Source organism: Homo sapiens, chromosome 7, assembly GCF_000001405.40.
Source record: "Homo sapiens chromosome 7, GRCh38.p14 Primary Assembly".
NCBI classification, from domain to species: domain Eukaryota; kingdom Metazoa; phylum Chordata; class Mammalia; order Primates; family Hominidae; genus Homo; species Homo sapiens.
Window position 1 is genome coordinate 57,160,031 of NC_000007.14, and position 21,764 is coordinate 57,181,794.

General features: G+C 42.4%; 9 pseudogenes across 1 annotated transcript; 6 read left to right on the forward strand and 3 right to left on the reverse strand.

The window, feature by feature from the left end:
- Positions 129-502, reverse strand: VN1R27P (vomeronasal 1 receptor 27 pseudogene; annotated as a pseudogene).
- Positions 5,640-20,126, reverse strand: GUSBP10 (GUSB pseudogene 10; annotated as a pseudogene). Its single transcript, NR_030766.1, has 4 exons — positions 19,839-20,126; positions 18,171-18,356; positions 17,345-17,498; positions 5,640-5,989 (listed from the first exon to the last, which is right to left on the reverse strand). The product of NR_030766.1 is annotated as a GUSB pseudogene 10 (transcript).
- On the forward strand, positions 7,170-7,850 carry MTATP6P8 (MT-ATP6 pseudogene 8; annotated as a pseudogene).
- MTCO3P10 (MT-CO3 pseudogene 10) lies at positions 7,850-8,621 on the forward strand (annotated as a pseudogene).
- MTND4LP32 (MT-ND4L pseudogene 32) lies at positions 9,113-9,382 on the forward strand (annotated as a pseudogene).
- Positions 9,276-10,838, reverse strand: MTND4P4 (MT-ND4 pseudogene 4; annotated as a pseudogene).
- On the forward strand, positions 10,963-12,739 carry MTND5P6 (MT-ND5 pseudogene 6; annotated as a pseudogene).
- Positions 12,747-13,261, forward strand: MTND6P29 (MT-ND6 pseudogene 29; annotated as a pseudogene).
- On the forward strand, positions 13,327-14,332 carry MTCYBP29 (MT-CYB pseudogene 29; annotated as a pseudogene).
- Positions 20,127-21,764: the final 1,638 nt, after the last annotated feature.

The following is a 21,764-nucleotide window of genomic DNA, read 5'->3' on the forward strand; positions in this document are numbered from 1 at the left end:
TTAGAGATATCTGCATGTTGAAATTGTTTTAACTTATAATATTTAGAAACCATAAATTTCTATAAAGAACTAAAAAATGTATCAATGCATTTTCCTCAGTTTTTCTGTGCTGTTTGTTATTTAATTTGTCAGCAATAGCAATAGAAACTCTGCATATTGTGGGTCCAGCAGAGCATGGGACGAGCCAATGTGCTTTAGGGCTTTTACTTTCAGCTTGGGCACCTTTAGTTTCTGGTGCTGATGGCAATGTAATGGAAGACACTGAAAATCAGGTGTTGCCCTCTGTCACATGATTGGTTGTGAACACAATAAACGTCTTTGCATGAAAAACAACTGAGTAAATGTTTTAACCCAAAAGCTGCCATAATCTCCAAAATTTTCCCAGAAAAATGCCCAAAATGTTGGCTACACTTAGGTGACTAAGAGTGAAAACTATAGACTGTGAACCTCACCCACTCAAAAATAATCATAAAATAATGGAAAAATCTCTCAAGATTGTAACATTAATATGAAAAAAGAAATATTCCAAATTGTAAATCCACAGAGCTCATTTTATTTGCAACATTTAACATTCACACTAAAAAATACATGATTCTGCATGAAAACATAAGTTGTGCTATAAATATATGATAAAAATTACATTTAATTATCCCTTAATATTAACTCTCTGATAAGTTTAATTTCTAAAATATATTTTCTAACTAATTTTGTATATGCTACACTTTGTCTTAGAATCTAATAAAAAATTTTTACTAAGACAAACAGTGCTTCCTGATTTAATCTTCTCACCTGTAGACAGTGTATGCCTCTTATCTCAATTAAGTGATCTGGAAGTTACATCGAGAAGCTATAAATAAGCTCAAACTCCCAAGTTTAACACAGTTTTTCACCATATTAAAAAATTCCAAACTTCTCATCAGAACCTACAAAGTACTGTGTGAAATGACATTGTACAGAGAGAACAGTGAGAAAGCTGTAGCCATAGTACAGAAAAAAGGGGAAGAGCTGTGATGGACACATCATTTGGATAGACATAAAAAGACACAAAACAAAAGATAATCAGAAAATTTAAAAAGCAGAATTTTTATTTAAATTCAGAGGCAGCCTGGGAACAGATGTCCTCTGCACATGCAGAATCAATGTTACAGTTTCACCATGAATATTTTCCATCTGTGGCTGAGAGTTACAAAGAAACTCCAGCAGGAATAATTATGGCTGATTATGAAGCATCTAGGACACAGACAGCCCTATCTTATATTTGTGCCTTAGTCTCTTTTTACACTGCTATAAAGATACTACCCAAGCCTGGATAATTTATGATGAAAGGAAGTTTAATTGACTCACAGTTCCACATGGCTGGGGAGGCCTCAGGAACCTTACAATAATGGGAGAGGGTGAAGGAGAAGCAGGTATCTTCTTCACTAGGTGGCAGGAGAGAGGGAAGGGAGGAAAAATTACCACTTATAAAACCATCTGATCTCATGAGAACTTACTCACTATCATGAGAAGACCATGGGTATCATTCTGTTCCTGGCTCCTTCCAAATATAATGCTCTTTTTATATTTCAAAAGCAAACATACTTTCCCAACAGTCCCCCAGTGTCTTAACTCATTTTAGCATTAACGCAAAAGTCTACATACATCTGAGACAAGGCAAGTCCCTGCTGCCTATGGGCCTGTAAATCAAAAGCAAGTTAGTTACCCCCAAGATACAATAGGGGTACAGGCATTAGATAAATTCTATTTCAAATGGGAGAAATTGGCCCAAACCAAGGAGATACAGGCCCTATGTAAGTTTGAATTCCAACGGGTCGGGTCAGTCATTAAATCTTAAAGGTCTGAGATGATCTCATTTGACTCCATGTCTCACACGTGGATCATGCTGATGCGAAGGGTGGGCCCTCATGGCCTTGAGCAGCTCCTTCATGGACTGGAATTGAATGCCTGTGGCTTTTCCAGGTGCTCAGTGCAAGCTCATAGTGAATCTGGCATTTTGGGGTCTGGAGTATAGTGGCCTTCTCACAACTCCAGTTGGCAGCTTCAGTGGGGACTCTGCATGAGAGCTCCAACCCCACATTTCCCTTCTGCATTGCCCTAGCGCAGGTTCTCCATGAGGGCTCTGCCCCTGCAGAAGACTTCTGCCTGAATACAAATTTGACCTATGGGAAAAAAAAAATTCTTCAACTTATTTGCAGTTAAAAACCACTGGCAGTCCAGGTGTGGTGGCTCACACTTGTAATCCCAGCACTTTGGGACGCCGAGGCAGGTGAATCACCTGAGATCAGGAGTTCGAGCCCAGCCTGGCCAACATGATGAAACCCCATCTCTACTACAAATACAAAAATTAGCCAGGTGTGGAGGCATGTGCCTGCAGTCCAGCTACTTGGGAGGCTGCGGCAGGAGAAACACTTGGATCCAGGAGGCGGAGGTTGCAGTGAGCCGAGATCGTGCCACTGCACTCCGGCCTGGACAACAGAGCAAGACTCCATCTCAAAACAAACAAACAAACAAAAAACACTGGCAAAAAAGGTATTACTAGAGATGTCATTCCCCTACATTAATAGTATATTGTTACCGTCTTTTACTTAGAACCTTAAGATGGCAAATTAACACTTCGTTCAAAGCACTATAGTTTTATCATATTAAAAACAACTTTGTTTAATGAAAAAATTATGTTCACACATAATCTTTAAATTTTTAAAAAATTTATTGCATTTTATTTACATAAAAGTACAATTGATAAAATAATTTACTACTAATATTCAAACGTTTTCCTCTCACTAGAATTCAGAATATTACTCTGAACACCTGCCTTATACATCACTAAAACAATGTTAAGTCAACAACAAAGAGCCTCTCCATTTACATTTTCATTATGCATCTTACAACTTAATGTCCTTACTCTTCCATAGAAAAGTTCATGAATAATGGACATCTAATAAAAAACTATCTCTCATATCTCTGATGCAACAATCACACAAATACTTTCACAACGGGAAGAAAGAATCAACATGAAGTAATCTGAGACTTCAGATACATTATTATTTGCTTTTCAGAAAATCTAATGTTTTTCACAGAAAAAGAAGCATACCTCGAATGTAACTATAAATCTCTAAAAAAATCTACTTTACAATGTATATAGTGTTACCTTTGGACCTTTTTTACACTCAACACTCTGATTTAGTGTAATGTCTGAAGTTTCAGTGCCTTCATTCTTTCTATTGTGAATCCTCAAATGTTTATATAGACTTAATTTTTGATTAAATATATTTTCCCCATTTACTAGATCTGCAAAAATATTTAGCATAAACTGGTGTTTTCTAAGCTGTAGTTTTTGTACAAATGTTTTTTCACATTCATTACATTTTTAGACTTTCCAATATAAAGTCTCTGATGTTCAACAAAGTCTGAGCATCTGCTTCAGGGTTTTCCTTTAATATAAAATGTGCACAATAAAATCTGTAATGCAAGTAAAGGTACTACAATCCTCTTTTTGTAATGTTTGTCTTCAGAATAAATAGTCTTTAAAGACCTATATTTTCTGAAAGGTCTTTTTATAGTAATCACATTTATAATGTAATCACATTTATAATGGATAGAGTCTTCCTGTCACCCAGGCTGTGGTGTAGTGGCTTGATCTTGGCTGACTGCAACCTCTGCCTTCCAGATTCAAGCAATTCTGCCTCAGCCTCCCGAGTAGCTGGGACTACAGGCACATGCCAACACACCCTGCTAATTTTTGTATTTTTAGTAGAGATGGGGTTTCACCATGTTGGCCACACTGGTCTTGAACTCCTAACCTCATGATCCACCCACCTTAGCCTCCCAAAGTGCTGGAATTGTAGGCGTGAGCCACCACACCCGGCCTTTAATGCTTTTATTAAGTATGAACTTTCTGATATTAAGATGTGAGTGGATATTAATGGCTTTTCACATTCTTGTATTTGTACAATTTTTCTCTAACATAAATCCTTTCTAGTGCAATAAGGTGTGAGAATTTGTTAAAAGTTTTGCCACATTCTTCATAGTTGTAGTTTTCTTCGGTATAAATTATCTTACCTACCATAAACGTGTGACTACCATTTAAAGGCCTTGCCACATTGAACACATTTCTAGAGTTTCTCACCAGTATGGTTTGTTTCTTAGAAAAGACTGAGGTGTGGTTAAATGCTCCATCACATTTTTTATGTATGTGGAGTTTCTCTCCAGTATGAAATTGTTTAATTAATAAGGATGGAGAACCAGTTAAAGGCTTTGCCACATGTTTTTTTCTACAATTGCTGGGGTTCTCTCCAATATCAATTATCTTACATTTATTCAGGTTTAAGGACTTTTTAAAGACATTGCCATATTCCTTATTGTAGGGTTTCTCTTCGTATTAATTCTCATGTATAATAAGGGTTCAAGACTAGTTGAAAGCTTTACCACATTCTTTGCTTTTGTAGGGCTTCTCCGTAGAAAGAATGATCAGATATTGTGTAAGGCCTGAGATGTGCTTAAAGGTTCTGTCACATTTTTAACCCTTGTAGGGTCTCTCTAATACAAATTCTCTTAGGCTTTGGAAGGCTCAGGCAGGTGGATCACCTGAGGTCAGGAGTTCGAGACCAGCCTGCCCACCATGCTGAAACCCCATCTCTACCAAAAATACAAAAATCAGCCAGTGTGGTGGCATGCACCTGTAATCCCAGCTACTCAGGTGACTGAGGCAGGAGAATCAATTGAACCAGGAAGGCAGAGGCTGCAGTGAGCCAAGATAGTGCCACTGCACTCCTGCCTGGGTGAAAAAGTGAGATTCCATCTTTAAAAAAAATTGTTTTTAAAAATAAATTCTCTTAGGTTCATTAAGGTGTGAGGGCTGGTTAAAGGCTTTGTTACATTTTTTTACATTTACAAGATTTTTGTCCAATATGAATTCCCTTATGTACAATAAAGGTTTGGAACTGGTTAAAGGCCTGGTCAAATTCTCCACACTTGTAGTGATTTTTTTTTCCAGTATAAATAATTTTATGTATTATAAGGCCTGAAGGCTGGATTTTGCCATATCTTCACATGTATAGGGTTTCTCTCCAGAATGAATTTACTTACAATAAAAGTGAGCACAAATTAAAATCTTTGCTACATTCCTTACAATTGTAGGGGTTCTCTATCATGTGAATTATCTTATATTCAGTAAGGATTGAGCATTGATCAAAGACTTATGACATTCTTCATATTTCTAGGGTTTCTCTCCAGTATGAATTCTCTTATATTTAGTAAGGTTTGAGAACCAGTTAAAGGCTTTACCACATTTTTCACATTTGTAGGGTGGCTCTCCAGTATGAATTCTCTTGTGTCCAATAAGATGTGAGCTCTGGTTAACGGTTTTGGCACATTCTTCACATTTGTAGCATTTCTCTCTAGTATGAATTTTCTAATTTTTGGTAAGGATTCAGCCATGCATAAAAGCTTTTTCACATTCTTCACAGTTGTATGGTTTCTCTCCAGTATGAATCCTCTTATGTTGAGAAAAGTATGAGAACCAGTTAAAAGTTTTGCCACATTCTTCACATGTGTAGGATTTCCTTCCAGTATGAGTTCTCTTGCGTTCAGTGAGATGTGAGCCCTGGTTGAAGCCTTCGGCACATTCTTCACATTTGTAGAGTTTCTCTACAGTACGAATTCTCTTATTTCGAATAAGGTTTGAAAACCAGTTAAAGGCTTTTCCACATTCCTCACATTTGTATGGTTTCTCTCCTGTATTAATTCTCTTATGTTGAATAAAGATTAAGCACCAGTTAAAAGCTTTGCCACATTCATCACATTGAAAGATTAACATTGGTTAAGTCCACTATAACTTTTTTCTGTCCCGTACACTAACCCACGCTTTTCCAGTCTTTTAACTTTAAATTTTCAATGCCATAGCTTTCATATCTTCTCATTATCACTTTTGGGAATAAATGTTTTATGCTCTGCCCAGGCAAAAGGTCTGGAGTAAAATGAGAGGACACAGCTAAAAATAAATAAATAAATAAATTATACCACTTATTAGACTCAGGTAAGCATACTCTATGAATACAAAATATAAAATTATACCAAGCACAATAAAATGGCATAATACCACAAGCCCAAATTCCTTAATAGACATGTAAACTTAACAAAAATATATTGACGAAAATGCCATTGTAACAGCTCTAAAAACCAGTTAAAAGATTGCAGTGCCACAGATGAGAATGATGCCAAAAGCCACATAGAAGACAAAAGAACATTTGTTACATTTATCCACCACAGCCATACCTCCTCCCCAATACAAAATAATGCCTTTAAGTGTAAACTCTCGACTCCTGGCTTCTCTCTCAAAAGTGAAAAAAAAAAAAATAGTGGCACATGTGTCCATACTTCTGGCTTTGAGGGGTCTTTCCAAAGACTGGTTTCTGTCTACCGTGACACAGAGTGCTGAAAGAAATGGTGCTATACTTTGAATGTCAGGTTAGTGTCTATGAGACAAAAGGTAAATGATTGTTACAGCACAGAGAGACTGTAGGACCACAGACAAACAGCAGGTGTACCAACTAATTACAGGCTCTTCAGCAGGAACATGGGCAAATCCACATAACTCAATAAACGGAACACAAATCTAGGGAAGAGACATCTTAAGAACAGGTTTGAGAAATTCTCAATATGTAGCCTGGCTCACTTTGGGAGGCTGAGGCAGGTGGATCACGAGGTCAGGAGATCGAGACCATCCTGGATAACATGGTGAAACCCCATCTCTAATAAAAATACAAAAAAAATAATTAGCTGGGCATGGTGGCGGGCACCTGTAGTCCCAGCTACTCAGGAGGCTGAAGCAGGAGAATCGCGTGAACCTGTGAGGTGGAGCTTGCAGTGAGCTGAGATCGCGCTTCTGCACTCCATCCAGCCTGGGTGACAAAGCGAGACTCCGTCTCAAAAAAAAAAAAAAAAAAAAAGCTACCCCAGTGTTAACCTTTTCAGTTAAAGGCTGAGAGAAATCACACCTCTCTACAGTGAATGCCTCAACTAGATACTTCCACATGACCTATTATTATTATATCAACAATCATAACTTTATTCTCCGTTATTCAATTAAAACTACCAAAGTTCATTTACCACACACCCCCTACACCAAAAATAATTAAAACACAAAAACATAACAACCCTTGACAACTAAAATGAACGAAAATCTGCTCACCTCATTTACTGCCCCGACAATCCTCGGTTTACCCGCAGCAGCACTAATCATCTTGTTTCTCACCACACTGCTTCCAATCTCCAACTATCTAATCAATAACTGATTGATTTCTATTCAACAATCACTAGTTCAACTTGTTCTAAAACAAATAATAATCACACATACTATTAAAGGATGAACCTGATCCCTTATACTAATATCCCTAATTCTCTTTATTGCCTTAACCAATCTCCTTGGGCTTCTACCCCACTCATTTACACCGACTACCCAACTATCAATAAATCTAGGTATAACAATCCCCTTATGAGCAGGCACAGTAATCACAGCCTTCCACTTTAAAACTAAAAACTCCTTAGCTCACTTCCTACCACAAGGCACACCCATACTACTTACCCCTATACTAGTAATCATCAAAACCACTAGTCTACTTATTCAACCAATGGCACTAGCTGTACATTTAACAGCCAACATTACAGCCGGTCACTTACTCATACACTTAATTGGAGGAGCCACGCTAGTATTATCAATTATTAACCTTCCCACAGCTTCAAACACCCTTATTATTCGAATTCTATTGACCACTCTCGAATTCGCTGTGGCCCTTATCCAAGCTTATGCCTTTACGCTATTAGTAAGCCTTTATTTATATGACAACACATAATGACCCACCAAACACACACCTATCATTTCGTCAAACTCAGCCCTTAACAAGGGCTCTCTCCTCTCTCCTAGTTACATCCAGCTTAGCTATATGATTTCACTTTAACTCTATTACTCTTTTAACCTTAGGCCTACTAAACAATACACTGACTATATATCAATGGTGACATGACATTATCTGAGAAAGTACATTTCAAGGCCACCATACAACAATTGTCCAAAAAGGCATCTGATATGGAATAGTACTATTTATTATCTCAGAAGTATTTTTCTTTGCTGGATTTTTCTGGGCATTCTACCATTCTAGTCTAGCCCCAATTCCAGAACTAGGAAGACACTGACCCCCAACAAGCATTTCTCCCCTTGACCCTCTGGAAGTACTCCTCCCGAATACATCTGTATTACTTGCATCAGGGGTTTCAATTACCTGAGCCCATCACAGCCTAATAGAAAATAATCGAAAACAAATAATTCAAGCACTACTTATCACAATTACCTTACGTATTTACTTCACCCTCCTACAAGTCTCAGAATACTTTGAGGCTCCCTTTGCTATTTCTGATGGAATTTATGGCCCAACATTCTTTACACCTACAGGCTTTCACGGACTTCACATCATTATTGGATCAACATTCCTCACTATCTGTCTCCCCTGCAAATTAAAATACCACTTTACATCTAGCCATCACTTTGGCTTTGAAGACGCCACCTGATATTGACACTTTGTAGATGTAGTATGACTATTCTTGTATATTTCTATTTACTGATGAGGATCTTACTCTTTTAGTATAAACAGTACCACTGACTTCCAATCATTTAGTTTGGACAACATCCGAAAAAGAGTAATTAACCTAATACTAGCCTTAGTAATCAACACCCTATTAGCCCTATCACTAACAGTTATTACATTTTGGCTCCCACTACTTAATATTTATATAAAAAAAATCCAGCCCCTACGAATGCGGATTTGACCTGTTATCCTCCGCCCACATTCCTTTCTCCATAAAATTTTTTCTAATAGCCATCACATTCCCCCTATTTGACTTAGAAATCGCCCTACTACTTACTACCCTTGCCATAAGCCCTTCAAACAAGCAATCTGACACTAACAAACAGCACAGCCCTTATACTAGTTATCATTTTAGTCCTAGGGTTAACTGATGAATGAACTCAAAAAGGATTAGATTGAACTGAATTGGTAGATAGTTTAAGCCAAAATAAATGATTTTGACTCATTAGATTATGATACAACATATTTACCAAATGCCCTCTATTTATATCAATATCATATTAGCATATACCATATCACTTCTGGGGATATTAATCTATCCATCCCATCTGATAACATCCCTACTATGCCTAGAAGGAATATTATCATTATTCATCATAAATACCCTTATACCTTTAAATATATATTTCACCGTGGCATTCATAATACCCATTACCCTCCTAGTATTTACAGCCTTACTAGTTTCCATCTCCAACACCTATAGCCTAGACTATGTATATAACCTAAATTTACTTCGATGCTAAAAATTATTATTCCAACAATTATACTGCTACCAATAACATGATTCTCTAAAAACTCAATAATCTAAATCAATATGACTATTCACAGCCTAATCATTAGTTTCATTGCCCTATTATTTATTAATCAATTCAATGACAATCTATTCAACTTCTCATTAACTTTCTCTTCTGATCCACTGACATCACCTCTCCTAATCTTAACAGCCTGACTACTACCTCTTGTAATTATAGCAAGCCAGTACCACCTCTCCAATGAGTCACCCCCATGGAAAAAGCTCTATATTTCCATATTGATTACCCTACAATTTTCTTTAGTCATGGCATTCACAGCCACAGAACTAATTACATTTTATATTTCCTTTGAAGCTACACTTATCCCTACCTTAATTATTATCACCCCCTGGGGTAACCAACCAGAACGCCTCAATGCAAGCTCATATTTCTTATTTTATACACTAGTGGGATCTCTTCCCTCTACTTATGATACTTATTTATACTCAAAATACCTTAGGTTCACTGAACATGATAATAATATTTAACACCCAAGAACTATTAATCTCCTGATCAAATAACCTTATATGATTAGCATGTGTTATGGGTTTTATAGTAAAAATACCCCCATACGGACTTCACGTATGACTTCCTAAAGCTCATGTAGAAGCCCCTATTGCAGGCTCAATAGTACTTAGAGCAGTTCTCCTAAAACCAGGCAGCTACGGCATAATATGGCTTACCCTTATCCTCAGCCCCCTGACAGAATATACAGTCTACCCCTTCCTCATGTTATCCTTATGAGGGATAGTTATGATAAGCTCTATTTGTCTACGACAAACTGATCTAGAATCACTTATTGCATATTCTTCCACAAGCCGTATAGCACTTATTATTATGTCTATCCTCATTCAAACCCCCTGAAGCTTTACTGGTGCAATTACCCTCAAAATTGCCCATGGACTTCCTTCGTCCTTACTACTCTGCCTAGCAGATTCAAACTATGAGCGAATCCATAGCCAAATCATATTACCCTCCAGAGGGCTTCAAACACTACTCCCACTAATAGCCTTTTGATGACTTAGAGCAAATCTTATTAACCTTGCCTTACCCCCCACCATTAATCTAATGGGAGAACTCTTTGTAATGGTGGCTTCACTCTCCTGATCAAACATCACCATTATGCTTATAGGATTTAATATTAATCACAGCCTTTTATTCCCTATACATACTTATCACAATACAACAAGAAACACATATTACATTAATAGCATTAAACCTTCCTCTACACGAGAAAATATACTAATACACATACACTTTGCACCTATTCTCCTATTATCCCTAAACCCTAAGATTATTGTAGGTTTTATACCCTGTAAATATAGTTTAATCAAAACATTAGATTGTGGGTCTAATAATAAAAGTCTGCAACTTCTTATTTACTGAGAAAGTATGCAAGAACTGCTAACTCATGCCCCTGTGCCTAACAACATGGCTTTCTCAAGTTGTAGAGGATAAGAGCTATCCGTTGGTCTTAGAAACCAAACATATTGGTGCAACTCAAAATAAAAGTAATAATCACGTATTTTTCCATTACTATAATAACCTTAATCTCCTTAACCTTACCAATTACTACCACCTTAATCAACCCTCACAAGAACTTGGATCCATATTATGTAAAAATATCTACTGCATGCACCTTCACCATTAGCCTCATTCCCACAACGTTTGTGTATATAGACCAAGAAGCCATCATCTCAAACTGACATTCAATAACAATCCAAACCCTTAAACTCTCACTAAGCTTCAAACTAGACTACTTCTCCATAAAATTTATCCCAGTAGCACTATTTGTCACCTGATCTCTTATAGAATTCTTGATATATAAAATCAGATCCTAACATTAATCGATTTTTCAAATATTTACTTATTTTCCTCACCACAATATTAATTCTAGTTACCACCAACAACATTTTTTCAACTTTTTATCAGATGAGAAGGTGTAGGAATTATGTCTGGTTTTACTAACTGGCTGATGACACAGCTGAGCAGATGCTAATACAGCAGCCCTCCAAGCGATTCTGTATAACCGCATTGGCGATATTGGCTTCATTTTAGCTATAGCATGATTCCTCTCATCTTACAATACATGAGAACCTCAACGAGCATTTATCCTAAATCCTACCCCTGATCTGCCATTAATTGGCCTTCTCTTAGCAGCAGCGGGAAAGTCAGCTCAATTTGGCCTCTACCCCTGACCTCCTTCCGCCATGGAAGGTCCAACCCCAGTCTCAGCCCTACTCCACTCTAGCGCTGTAGTTGTAGCAGGAATTTTACTGCTTATCCACTTCCACCCCTTAATAGAAAATAATATGTTAATCCAAACCCTTAAAATGTGTTTAGGGGCTATTGCCACCTTATTTACAGCAATTTGTGCTCTAACACAAAATGTGATCAACAAAATCGTAGCATTCTCCACCTCAAGTCAACTAGGCCTTATAATAGCCACAATGGGCAAGAATCAACCACACCTAGCATTCCTACACATTTGCACCCACACCTTTTTTAAAGCTATATTATTTATAAGTTCAGGATCCATCATCCATAACCTCAACAATAAACAAGATACCTGAAAAATAGGAGGACTATTTAAGACTTTACCCCTTACTTCCTCCTCCCTTATTATTGGCAGCCTAGCACTTATGGCTATGCCTTTCCTCACAGGCTTTTACTCTAAAGATCTCATTATCAAAAGTGCAAACACATCCCTATACCAACGCCTGAGCCCTCTCTACTACTCTTATTGCCACCTCCCTAGCAAGTGTCTATAATATCCAAATTATTTTCTTTGCTCTAATAGGACAATCCCACGTCCCAACCCTAATCAGCATTGACAAAAATAACTCTTCCCTAATAAACCCAATTAAATGCCTTATAGTCGGCAGTATCTTCGCTGGGTTTCTCATCACCAATAGCATTATCCCTACACTTCATCCTCCCAAACAACAATATCACCTCACCTAAAACTCACAGCCCGAGGTGTAACCTTCCGAAGACTCTTACTGGCAATGGAACTTAGTTTTATAACTAATAATCTTAAGATAACATATCCATTACAAACATTCAGCTTCTCCAATATATAAGGATTTTACTCAATCACAATTCACCGTACAACCCCTCACTCAAACCTACCTACAAGCCAAAATCTGGCATCACTTCTGCTAGACCTAATTTGACTAGAAAAGTCCATACCAAAGACAATTTCACAGACGCAACTCAAAGCCTCCATTACCATAACTACTCAAAAAGGCCTAATTAAATTTTATTTTTTCTTTTGTTATTCCATCCTTCTTAACTTTACTCTTAATTATCTAATCTATTACCCAGAGTAATTTCAACTGCCACATAAATACTAACAATGTTCAATCAGCAACTACGAACAATCAACACCCATAATTATATAAAGCACCCGCACCCACAGAATCCTGATGCATTAACCCTGGCACCTCCCCCTCAAAAATTATTCAACTTCCCACACTAATAAAATTAACTATGATGACCACCCCATCATACTCATCATTCATCAAAGTAACAACAACTCTATTAGTAGCCCCAATAATAAAGTTTCTAAAACATCAATACTTGATCCTCATGCCTCAGGGTATTCCTCAATAGCCATCACCACAGTATAACCAAAAACAACCATCATCCCCCCCAAATAAACAAAAAAGACTATTAGTCCCATAAAAGCCCCACCATAATTCAACACAATAACACAACCTACAGCACCACTAAGAATTAACCCTAAACCCCCATAAATAGAAGGTTTAGAAAAAAAACCTACAAATCCCGTAACAAAAGAACACTTAATAAGAATAAAGCATATGTCATTATTCCCACATGGGTTATAGCCATGACTAATGATATGAAAAACCATCACTGTACTTCAAGAACACTAATGACCATTACATGTAAAACAAACCCACTAATAAAAATCATTAATTACTCATTCATTGATCTCCCCACACCATCTAATATCTCTATATGATGAAACTTTGGCTCACTTCTTGGTACCTGTTTCTGGCCATACACTAGACACCAGATACCCCAATTGCTTTCTCTTCTATTGCCCATATTAACCGAGATGTGGACTACGGCTGAAGAGTCCGCTGTTTTCACACTAATGGCCCTTCAACATTCTTCATCTGCCTCTTCCTACACGTCGGCGGAGGCTTATATTATGGGTCATTCGTACATTTAGAAACATGAAACACTGGCATTATCCTCCTACTCATAACCACAGCAACAGCATTTATAGGCTATGTGCTTCCATGAGGCCAGATACCATTCTGAGGCACTACAGTAATCACAAACCTACTATCAGCCTTCCCATATATTGGAACTGACCTTGTCCCATGAATCGAAGGTGGATTTCCAGTTTACAAAGCCACTCTTACACAACTCTTCAACTTCCACTTCATCTTACCTTTCACCATAATAGCCCTGACAATTCTCCACCTTTTATTCCTACACGAAACAGGGTCTAATAACCCTTCAGGAATTTCATCACATTCTGACAAAATCACCTTCCACCCTTACTAAACAACCAAAGATATTCTAGGTTTAATTTTTCTCCTCCTCATGTTAATAATTCTAGTACTGTTTCTGCCTGACCTCCTGAGCGACCCAGATAATTACCCCTTAGTCAACCCCCAAATACCCTGCCCCACATAAAACCACAGTGATACTTTTTATTTGTATACACAATCTTACGATCCATCCCCAATAAACCAGGAGTCAATATCTGTTCTGAACCTTAGTCACCGACGTATTCACACTCACATGAATCAGAGGACAGCCAGTTGAACATCCTTTCATTACCATCGGACAGATAGCATCTGTGATATATTTCTCTATTATTCTTGTTCTCATACCACTCACTGCCCTAATCAAGAATAAACTACTTAAATGAAACTGCCCTTGTAGTATAATCCAATACACCAGTCTTGTAAAGCAGAAATGGAGAGTCCCCTCCCTAGGGCAACTCAGAGAAAAAGCATTCCCACTTCACCATCAACACCCAAAGCTGAGATTCTAATTAAACTATTCTCTGTATTTTTTTTGGCACGCATTTTTACTACTATGTAAGTCCTGACCATCAGCACTAATACATTAATACTTTTATGTACTTCGTGCATTACTGCTAGTCCCCATGAATATATAGAATTATCAATGCTTGATTGTACACAGTACATTCACAGATTGTATGACATTACAAGCTTGCTCCACACACATATAAACAAGTATTAGCAATTTCTTAACTATCGTATATAATACTACACTTACACATAGAACTAGTTCCATATGGATATCGACCAGCACTCAAAATTCTTAATATTACATAGTGCATTCATTGGTTCATTGGACATAGCACATTTCAGTCAAAACCACCCTCCCAACATGGTTATCTCCTACTAAATTTTGGTCTCTTAGTCTACCAACCTCCGAGAAATCATCATCCTGCTTGGATGTGTTACCCTCCTTGCTCCGGGCCCATAATACTTGGGGTTGACTATACTGAAACTATACCTGGCATCTGGTTCTTAGCTCAGGGCCATAAAACTAAGATTGCCCATACGTTCCCCTTAAATAAGACATCTCGATGGACTAGTGACTATCACCATATTAACCAGACACGGGAGCACTGTCATGCATTTGGTATTTTTAACTTTTGGGGATGCTATGACTCACCATGGCGAAAGGCCTTGTCCCCTTGCCATCAGCTGTAGTCATACTTGGATTTGATTTCCACCAAACCAATTGTAGAAATCACACCTACTCCTCATGTGATCCACTCAACTCAGCCTCCCAAAGTGCTGGGATTACAGGCGTGAGCCACCGTGTCTGGCACTTTTTTTCAATTTAAAAAAAGATTTTTTTGACCAGGCAGAGTGGTCACACCTGTAATCCCAACACTTGGGGAGGCTGAGGTGGAAGGATCGCTTGAGCCCAGGAGTTCAAGACCAGCCTGGTTAACATAGGGAAACCACTTCTTCCCTAAAAATACAAAAAATTAGCCAAGCGTGGTGGTGTCTGCCTGCAGCCCCAGCAGCCCCAGCTACTTGGAAGGCTGAAACGGGAGGATTGCTTGAGCCAGGAGTTCGAGGCTGCAGTAAGATACATCTTAAGGCAGGGTAGGTAGTCAAGGAAGCGAACACGTCCTTGAGACGTGCCAATCATGGTGCTGAGATATGTGACATGTGAACAAGCATGTACAGCTACTATGCATACGCAACCAAAGGACAGCCCAAAACGTGCTTACACCTCTTCCCAGCTCCTTAGGAATTCATCATGGAAGACTCCCAGAAAGGGAGTTTCGCCAGTAATAATCAGTGCTGTCTCATTGCTACGAGCAGCCTGCCCTGAATTCTCTCTCAGGGTGAACTGTGTATTTTGCACTTCACTATTTTTTTTGAGAAGGGGTCTCGCTCTGTCACCCAGGCTGGAGTGCAGTGTTGCAATCTCAGCTCACTGCAACCTCCACCTCAGAAGTTCGAGCAATTCTCCCATCTCAACCACCCGAGTAGCTGGTATTACAGGCACACGCCACCACGCCAAGCTAATGTTGGCCAGGCTGATTTGAACTCCTCAAGTGATCCACCTGCCTCGGCCTCCAAAAGTGCTGAGATTAGAGGGATGAGCCACTGTGCCCGGGCTATTCTGCACTTAACTTCCAAAATACTTTTTTCTTTGCAATAAATTGCTCTATGCTGCATCACCTTTGCTGTGTGATTCTTGTTTAAATTCCTATTTATTTAATTTTATTTATTTATTTATTTATTTATTTATTTATTTGAGACAGGGTCTCACTATGTTGCCCAGGCGGGTCTCGAACTTTTGAGCTCAAGCTATCTGTCCACCTTGGCCTCCCAAGACAGACATTAACCACCGCACCCAGCCTAAACTCTTTTAAACTTGGAACTGCAGCCCCAAAACAGCTGTCAATAATCTCGCCACTGTACTCCAGCATGGGCGACAGTGTAAGGCCTCATCTCAGAAAAAGAAAAAGATATATTTAAAACAAGAAAAAAAAACTTTAAAAATCCTTACACTCTGGGATGCTGAGGCATGTGCATCACCTCAGGTCAGGAGTTCAAGTCCAGCCAGGTTAACATGGTGAAACCCTGTCTTTACTAAAAAAAAAATACAAAAATTAACTGGGCATGGTGGCAGGTGCCTGTAATCCCAGCTACTCGGGAGGCTGACACAGGAGAATCCTTTGAAACCAGGAGGCGGAGGTTGCAGTGAGCCGAGATTGTACCACTGCCCTCCAGCCTGGTCAACAGAGTGAGACTCCATCACAAAAAAAAAAAAAAAAAAAAAAAAAAAAAAGACAGGGTCTCCCTCTGCTGCCCAGACCGGAGCGCAGTGGTGTAGTCGTAGCTCACTGCACCCTTGACCTCCCAGGTTCAAGTGATTCTCCTGTCTCAGTAGCTGGGACTACCAGCACACATCACCATGCCTGACTAATTTTTTAATTTTTTGTGGTGATGGTCTCGCTGTTGCCCAGGCTGGTCTTGAACTCCTAGCCTCAAGTGATCCTCCTACCAGGGCCTCCTTGCAAAGAGCTGAGAGGACAGGCACGAGCCACTGTGCCTGTTCCTCCAAAGCTGCCTGTTCCTTGAGCATGATGTGTAGCAAGGGGAGCTGGAGTGAGAGCAGCACCGTGGGGAAAGGACAGGACAGCCGCCCTGAGCTGTGTGACGTTAGGCCAAACTCCTCTTCTCCAAGTGAGGTCAACCACACAGGTGATTTCAGGAGCCCGCGTCTGCTCAGATAGGCTGGATTTTAGCTTTGTAGGTGGATGGGAACCTGTGGGGGTTTAGAGATGCTGGGAGCACCTTTTTCCTGGGAGAGCTTTCCAAACAGGGAACAAACAGAGCCACTCAGGGCCCCACGGAGGGAGGATCTTACCAGAAGCCCTCACCACTGTCATGCTCCACACCGGTGGTGATGGTGATGTCATCGATGTAGGTGGTGGGTGTCGTGTACAGAAGCACAGACCACTGCAGTCCCGCGTAGTTGAAGAAGTCAGTCTGTGTTCTGGACAAAACAACCCTTGGGATACCTAGGGTGTGAAGATTGTGGTTCTCTGGGCCCTTGCCCTGGGTCCTTTGACTTCAGCTCACAGGCCTCCCCAGCCTCCCCAGATCCAGGGCCTCCACTCTGCGAAGGCCACCCTGTCCCTAGCAGGAAGACCACAGGGTGGGATGGGAAGGTGGGTGCGTGCAGTGGAGACAGGATGGTACCCACTTGGAGGTGTTGGTCATGTAGCAGATGGTCCCTGGTGGCAGGGACCCCCCCTCTTGGGGTTGAGCATATTACTGATGTTGATTAGTGACGCAGAGGCAGGAGGGCAGAGGCCCCACCTGGACCAAGCTGCTGATGTCAGCCCCTCATGCTCTAGCGTGTTGACACCATTCACCCACTGCAGACAAAGGAGATATGGGGAGGGGGTGGCAGGTCAGCGCATAAGGAGAGGCCCTGCTATTGGGCACTCCCTCACATAACCTGCAGCATGGGGCTCAGGGGCCTGCCAGGCAGATGGGAAGAATGGCATCCCGATGGGGTAGATCAGGCCACCTATCCCCCTACACAGGACATAGCCCCCAGGGCAGGGCAGAGCAGGGACCCCCACCATCCCACGCCAGAAGACAGGCTGTGGGTGGCTGCTGGGGGTCCCATGCTGGTCGGCAGCCATGCCCACCCACCCACCCTGCCTGCTCCTGGCTGCACTGACCACGATATCATAGGAGTGGGCACTGCCAATCCTCAGCACCACTCTTGCACGCAGGTCCTGGGTCCATTTCTCCGGCAGGGTCACCTCCCATTCGTACAACATCCAGCTAACAAAATGCCGCAGGCGCCAGTCCTGGCCAATGTCGTTGAAGCTGAAGGGAACCAGCACGTCCAGGGTGGGGCCTGACTGCGGAGAGAGGGGCCAGGCTCAGCTCCTAGGTCCCCAAAAAGATCTGGGGCCAGTGTGCTGCACAGCTGTGCCCCCCCGCAGGCCTAGCGCAAGTCCTGACATACAGCAGGAACCCTTGGTGGAACGTACAGATAACTTGCTGCAACAGGTCAACTGCCAGGGCGGTTTGTGCACCTGGGCCAGTGGGGCCAGGAGTTCCTCCTCGGGAGTGGATGGGGCCCAATATCTCCCGAGACAGATGACCTACTGCCTGTCACAGGGAGGAAGGCTGGTTGGGGGGATGGGGGAGCTTTGCTTAGGACACTCTGAGTGGGGTGCACGCTAGCACACAGCCCTCTCCTCTTCCTCCTGTACTGAATGCCTCAAAGTCAGAAAAAGAGAATGTAGAATAGGCAAACGCAGCCCAGACCTCACCTGGTCCCATTTCTCTACTGACCACATCCAAGTCAGAAGGGGAACAGGGGTGGCGTCCTTGGCCTGATGTCATGTCCTGTCCTCTATCTGAACCTTGAAAACCAAGGGACCTTCCTGCCTCGGCAGAGCTGACCTCAGAACGTCTAAACTGTCCCCTCCTCCCAATCCCCAGGCCCGGCTCTGTGCAGCACATGCCACTCTGGCTAGATGAGTGTGTGGGTAATCAAAAGCCTGTAATCAGCACTTTGGGAGGTCAACGTGGGAGGATGGCTTGAGGCCAGGAATTTGAGACCAGCCTGGGCAATGCAGTGAGACCCTGTATCTTAAAAAAAAAAAAAAGTTTTTTCAGTGTTTTTTTTAAACGGAGTCTCACTCTGTCACCCAGGCTGGAGTGCAGTGGTGTTATCTCGGCTCATTGCAACCTCCGCCTCCTGGGTTCAAGCGATTTTCTTGCCTCAGTCTTCCAAGTAGCTGGGATTACAGGCATGAACCAACCACACCTGGCTAATTTTTATATTTTTAGTAGAGGCAGTGTTTCACCATGTTGGCCAGGCTGGTCTCGAACTCCTGGCCTCAGGTGATTTGCCCGCCTGCGCCTCCCAAAGTGCTGGGATTACAGGAGTGAGCCACCTAGCCTGTCCAAGGTTTTTTTCTGATTAGCCAGGCGTGGTGGCCCCAGCTAACTTGCAAGGCTGGGGCAGGAGAATCACTTGAGCTCAATGGATTGCACCACTCAGCTCCAGCCTGGGTAACAGGGCCAAACCCAGTCTCAAAAAAATTTATAAATTAAAAATAAACATTAAAAAGGACACTGCCCAGGCTCACCCTTCACCTCAGGAGGGGGCTCTGCAGGAGCACTTCCTCCTCTTCCCACCTCCTCTGCCTTGGTCTTCCCGGTTTCCCCGGGTCCCCATCCACTAGTCCCGCTCCAAGCCCATTGACCTTTAACCTCCTTTGGGCCCCCAGCTCCGGGATGCCCAGGGGAAGGAGCCTGCAGGGGGCTGGGGCTCCTCTCTCCCACTGCCGGGCTTCCGGGTGCCTCCAGGCCCTGCCCCGAGTCCTCACCTCCTGCAGTGGCCGCGGGTACCACTTCTCCTTAAAGCCCTGGCGTCGGTTGTCCAAATCGGCAGGGAAGCTCCAGAGGCCACCCAGCTCCTTGGGCTCCCGCGACGGACTCTCCTTGGGGTACAGCATCCCGCCTTGCAGTGCCAGCACACAGCAACAGCGGCCCAAACGCCGTGCAGGCCACACCTGTCCACTAGGTCACGCTTTCCACTCCACTGCTTGGCCACCGTCTGCAGGGCTAAGAGCAGTGCAGGAGGAGGCTGCGGACAGGTCGCATCAGGTACCTGAGACGATCCGCGCCATCTTTGCTGAGGGCGAGTGCCAGGCCTAGAGGGGCGGGATGGGCCTGGCGCTGCCCAGTGGGGCCTGTGGCTGGAACCCCGGGCTAGGCCTTTGGGGAAGCGGGACCCTCACTCTCAGCCCCAGCCAAGAAGGGCAAGGTCGGTTCCCCACCCCAGCACAGTCTGGACGATCCAGGGCTGCAGGCCAGGAAAGAACCCCTGAGATCGGTGGGATCCCCCTGTTTCTTCAAGGAGCACCTTCTCTTGCTTTCCACAGCAGGAATTTGAGCAGGCCACAGCAGAGCCTCTTCCATGCCTGTTGGATGCAATAGAGTGAGATTCCACCTTGGGAGGCCAAGGTGGGCAGATTGCTTGAGTCCAGGAGTTCAAGACCATGGCAAAACCCTGTCTCTACTAAATATACAAAAATACTAAATACCAAAATACAAAAATTAAGACTAGGCATAGTGGCTCACACCTGTAATCTCAGCACTTTGGGAGGCCAACGTGGGAGGATCTCTTGAGGAAAGGAATTTGAGACCAACCTGGGAAACACAGTGAGACCCCCATCTCTACAAAAAATATAATTAAGGCTGGGCGTGGTGGGTCATGCCTATAATCCTAGCACTTTGGGAGGCCAAGGCAGGCAGATCACAAGGGCAGGAGTTCGAGACCAGCCTGGTCAATATGGTGAAATCCCGTCTGTACTAAAAATACAAAAAAATTAGCTGGGTGTGGTGGCATGCGCCTGTAATCCCAGCTGCTCAGGAGGCTGAGAGAGGAGAACCACTTGAATCCAGGAGGCAGACGCTGCAGTGAGCCGAGATCACGCCACTGCACTCTAGCCTGGGCCACAGAGGGACACTGTCTCCAAAAAAAAAAAAATAATAAGAGAAAAAAGAAGAAATGAGCAGCCTGGTAGGAAGATGGGGCAGCCCTGAAAGGCTCGGTGAATGTACCAGTCTGAAGCTAACACTCCGCAGATCTGGGATGCTGCCCTCCAAGATGTGGTACACGCTGACAGCTTTCTTTTCCCTCTTCCTCCTCCTCCTCATTTAAAGGCAGGAGCCAGCGTGCCTGGCTGTTTATTCCTCTTCCTCCTTCTCCTTTACAGGCGTGAGCCATCAAGCCTGGCTTCCTCCTCCTCCTCCTCCACAGGTGTGAGCCACCTCCTCTGGTTCTTTGTTGTCCTCCTCCTCATTTAAAGGCGGGAGCCACTGCCTGGCTATTACTTTCTCCTCCTCATCCTCCTTTACAGATGTGAGCCACCACGCCTGGCTGTTTCTTCCTCCTCCTCCTCTACAGACCTGAGCCACCTCGCCGGGATGTTTCCTCCTCCTTCCCCTCCTTTACAGCCATCGGCCACAACTGGCTGTTTTTTCCTCCTCCTCCTCCTCTTCTACAGACTTGAGCCATCGCACCTGGCTATTTCCTCCTCCTCCTCCACTTTCACAGGCGTGAGCCACCACGACTGTTTTCTCCTCCTCCTCTTTTACACACGTGAGCTGCTGTTTCCTCCTCCTCCTTCTCCTCCTTTACAGGCGTGAGCCATCACACCTGGCTGTTTCCTTTTCCTTCCTCTCTTCCTCTTCCTCCTTTACAGGCGTGAGGCACATGACTCTGTTTTTTCCTCCTTTGCAGGCGT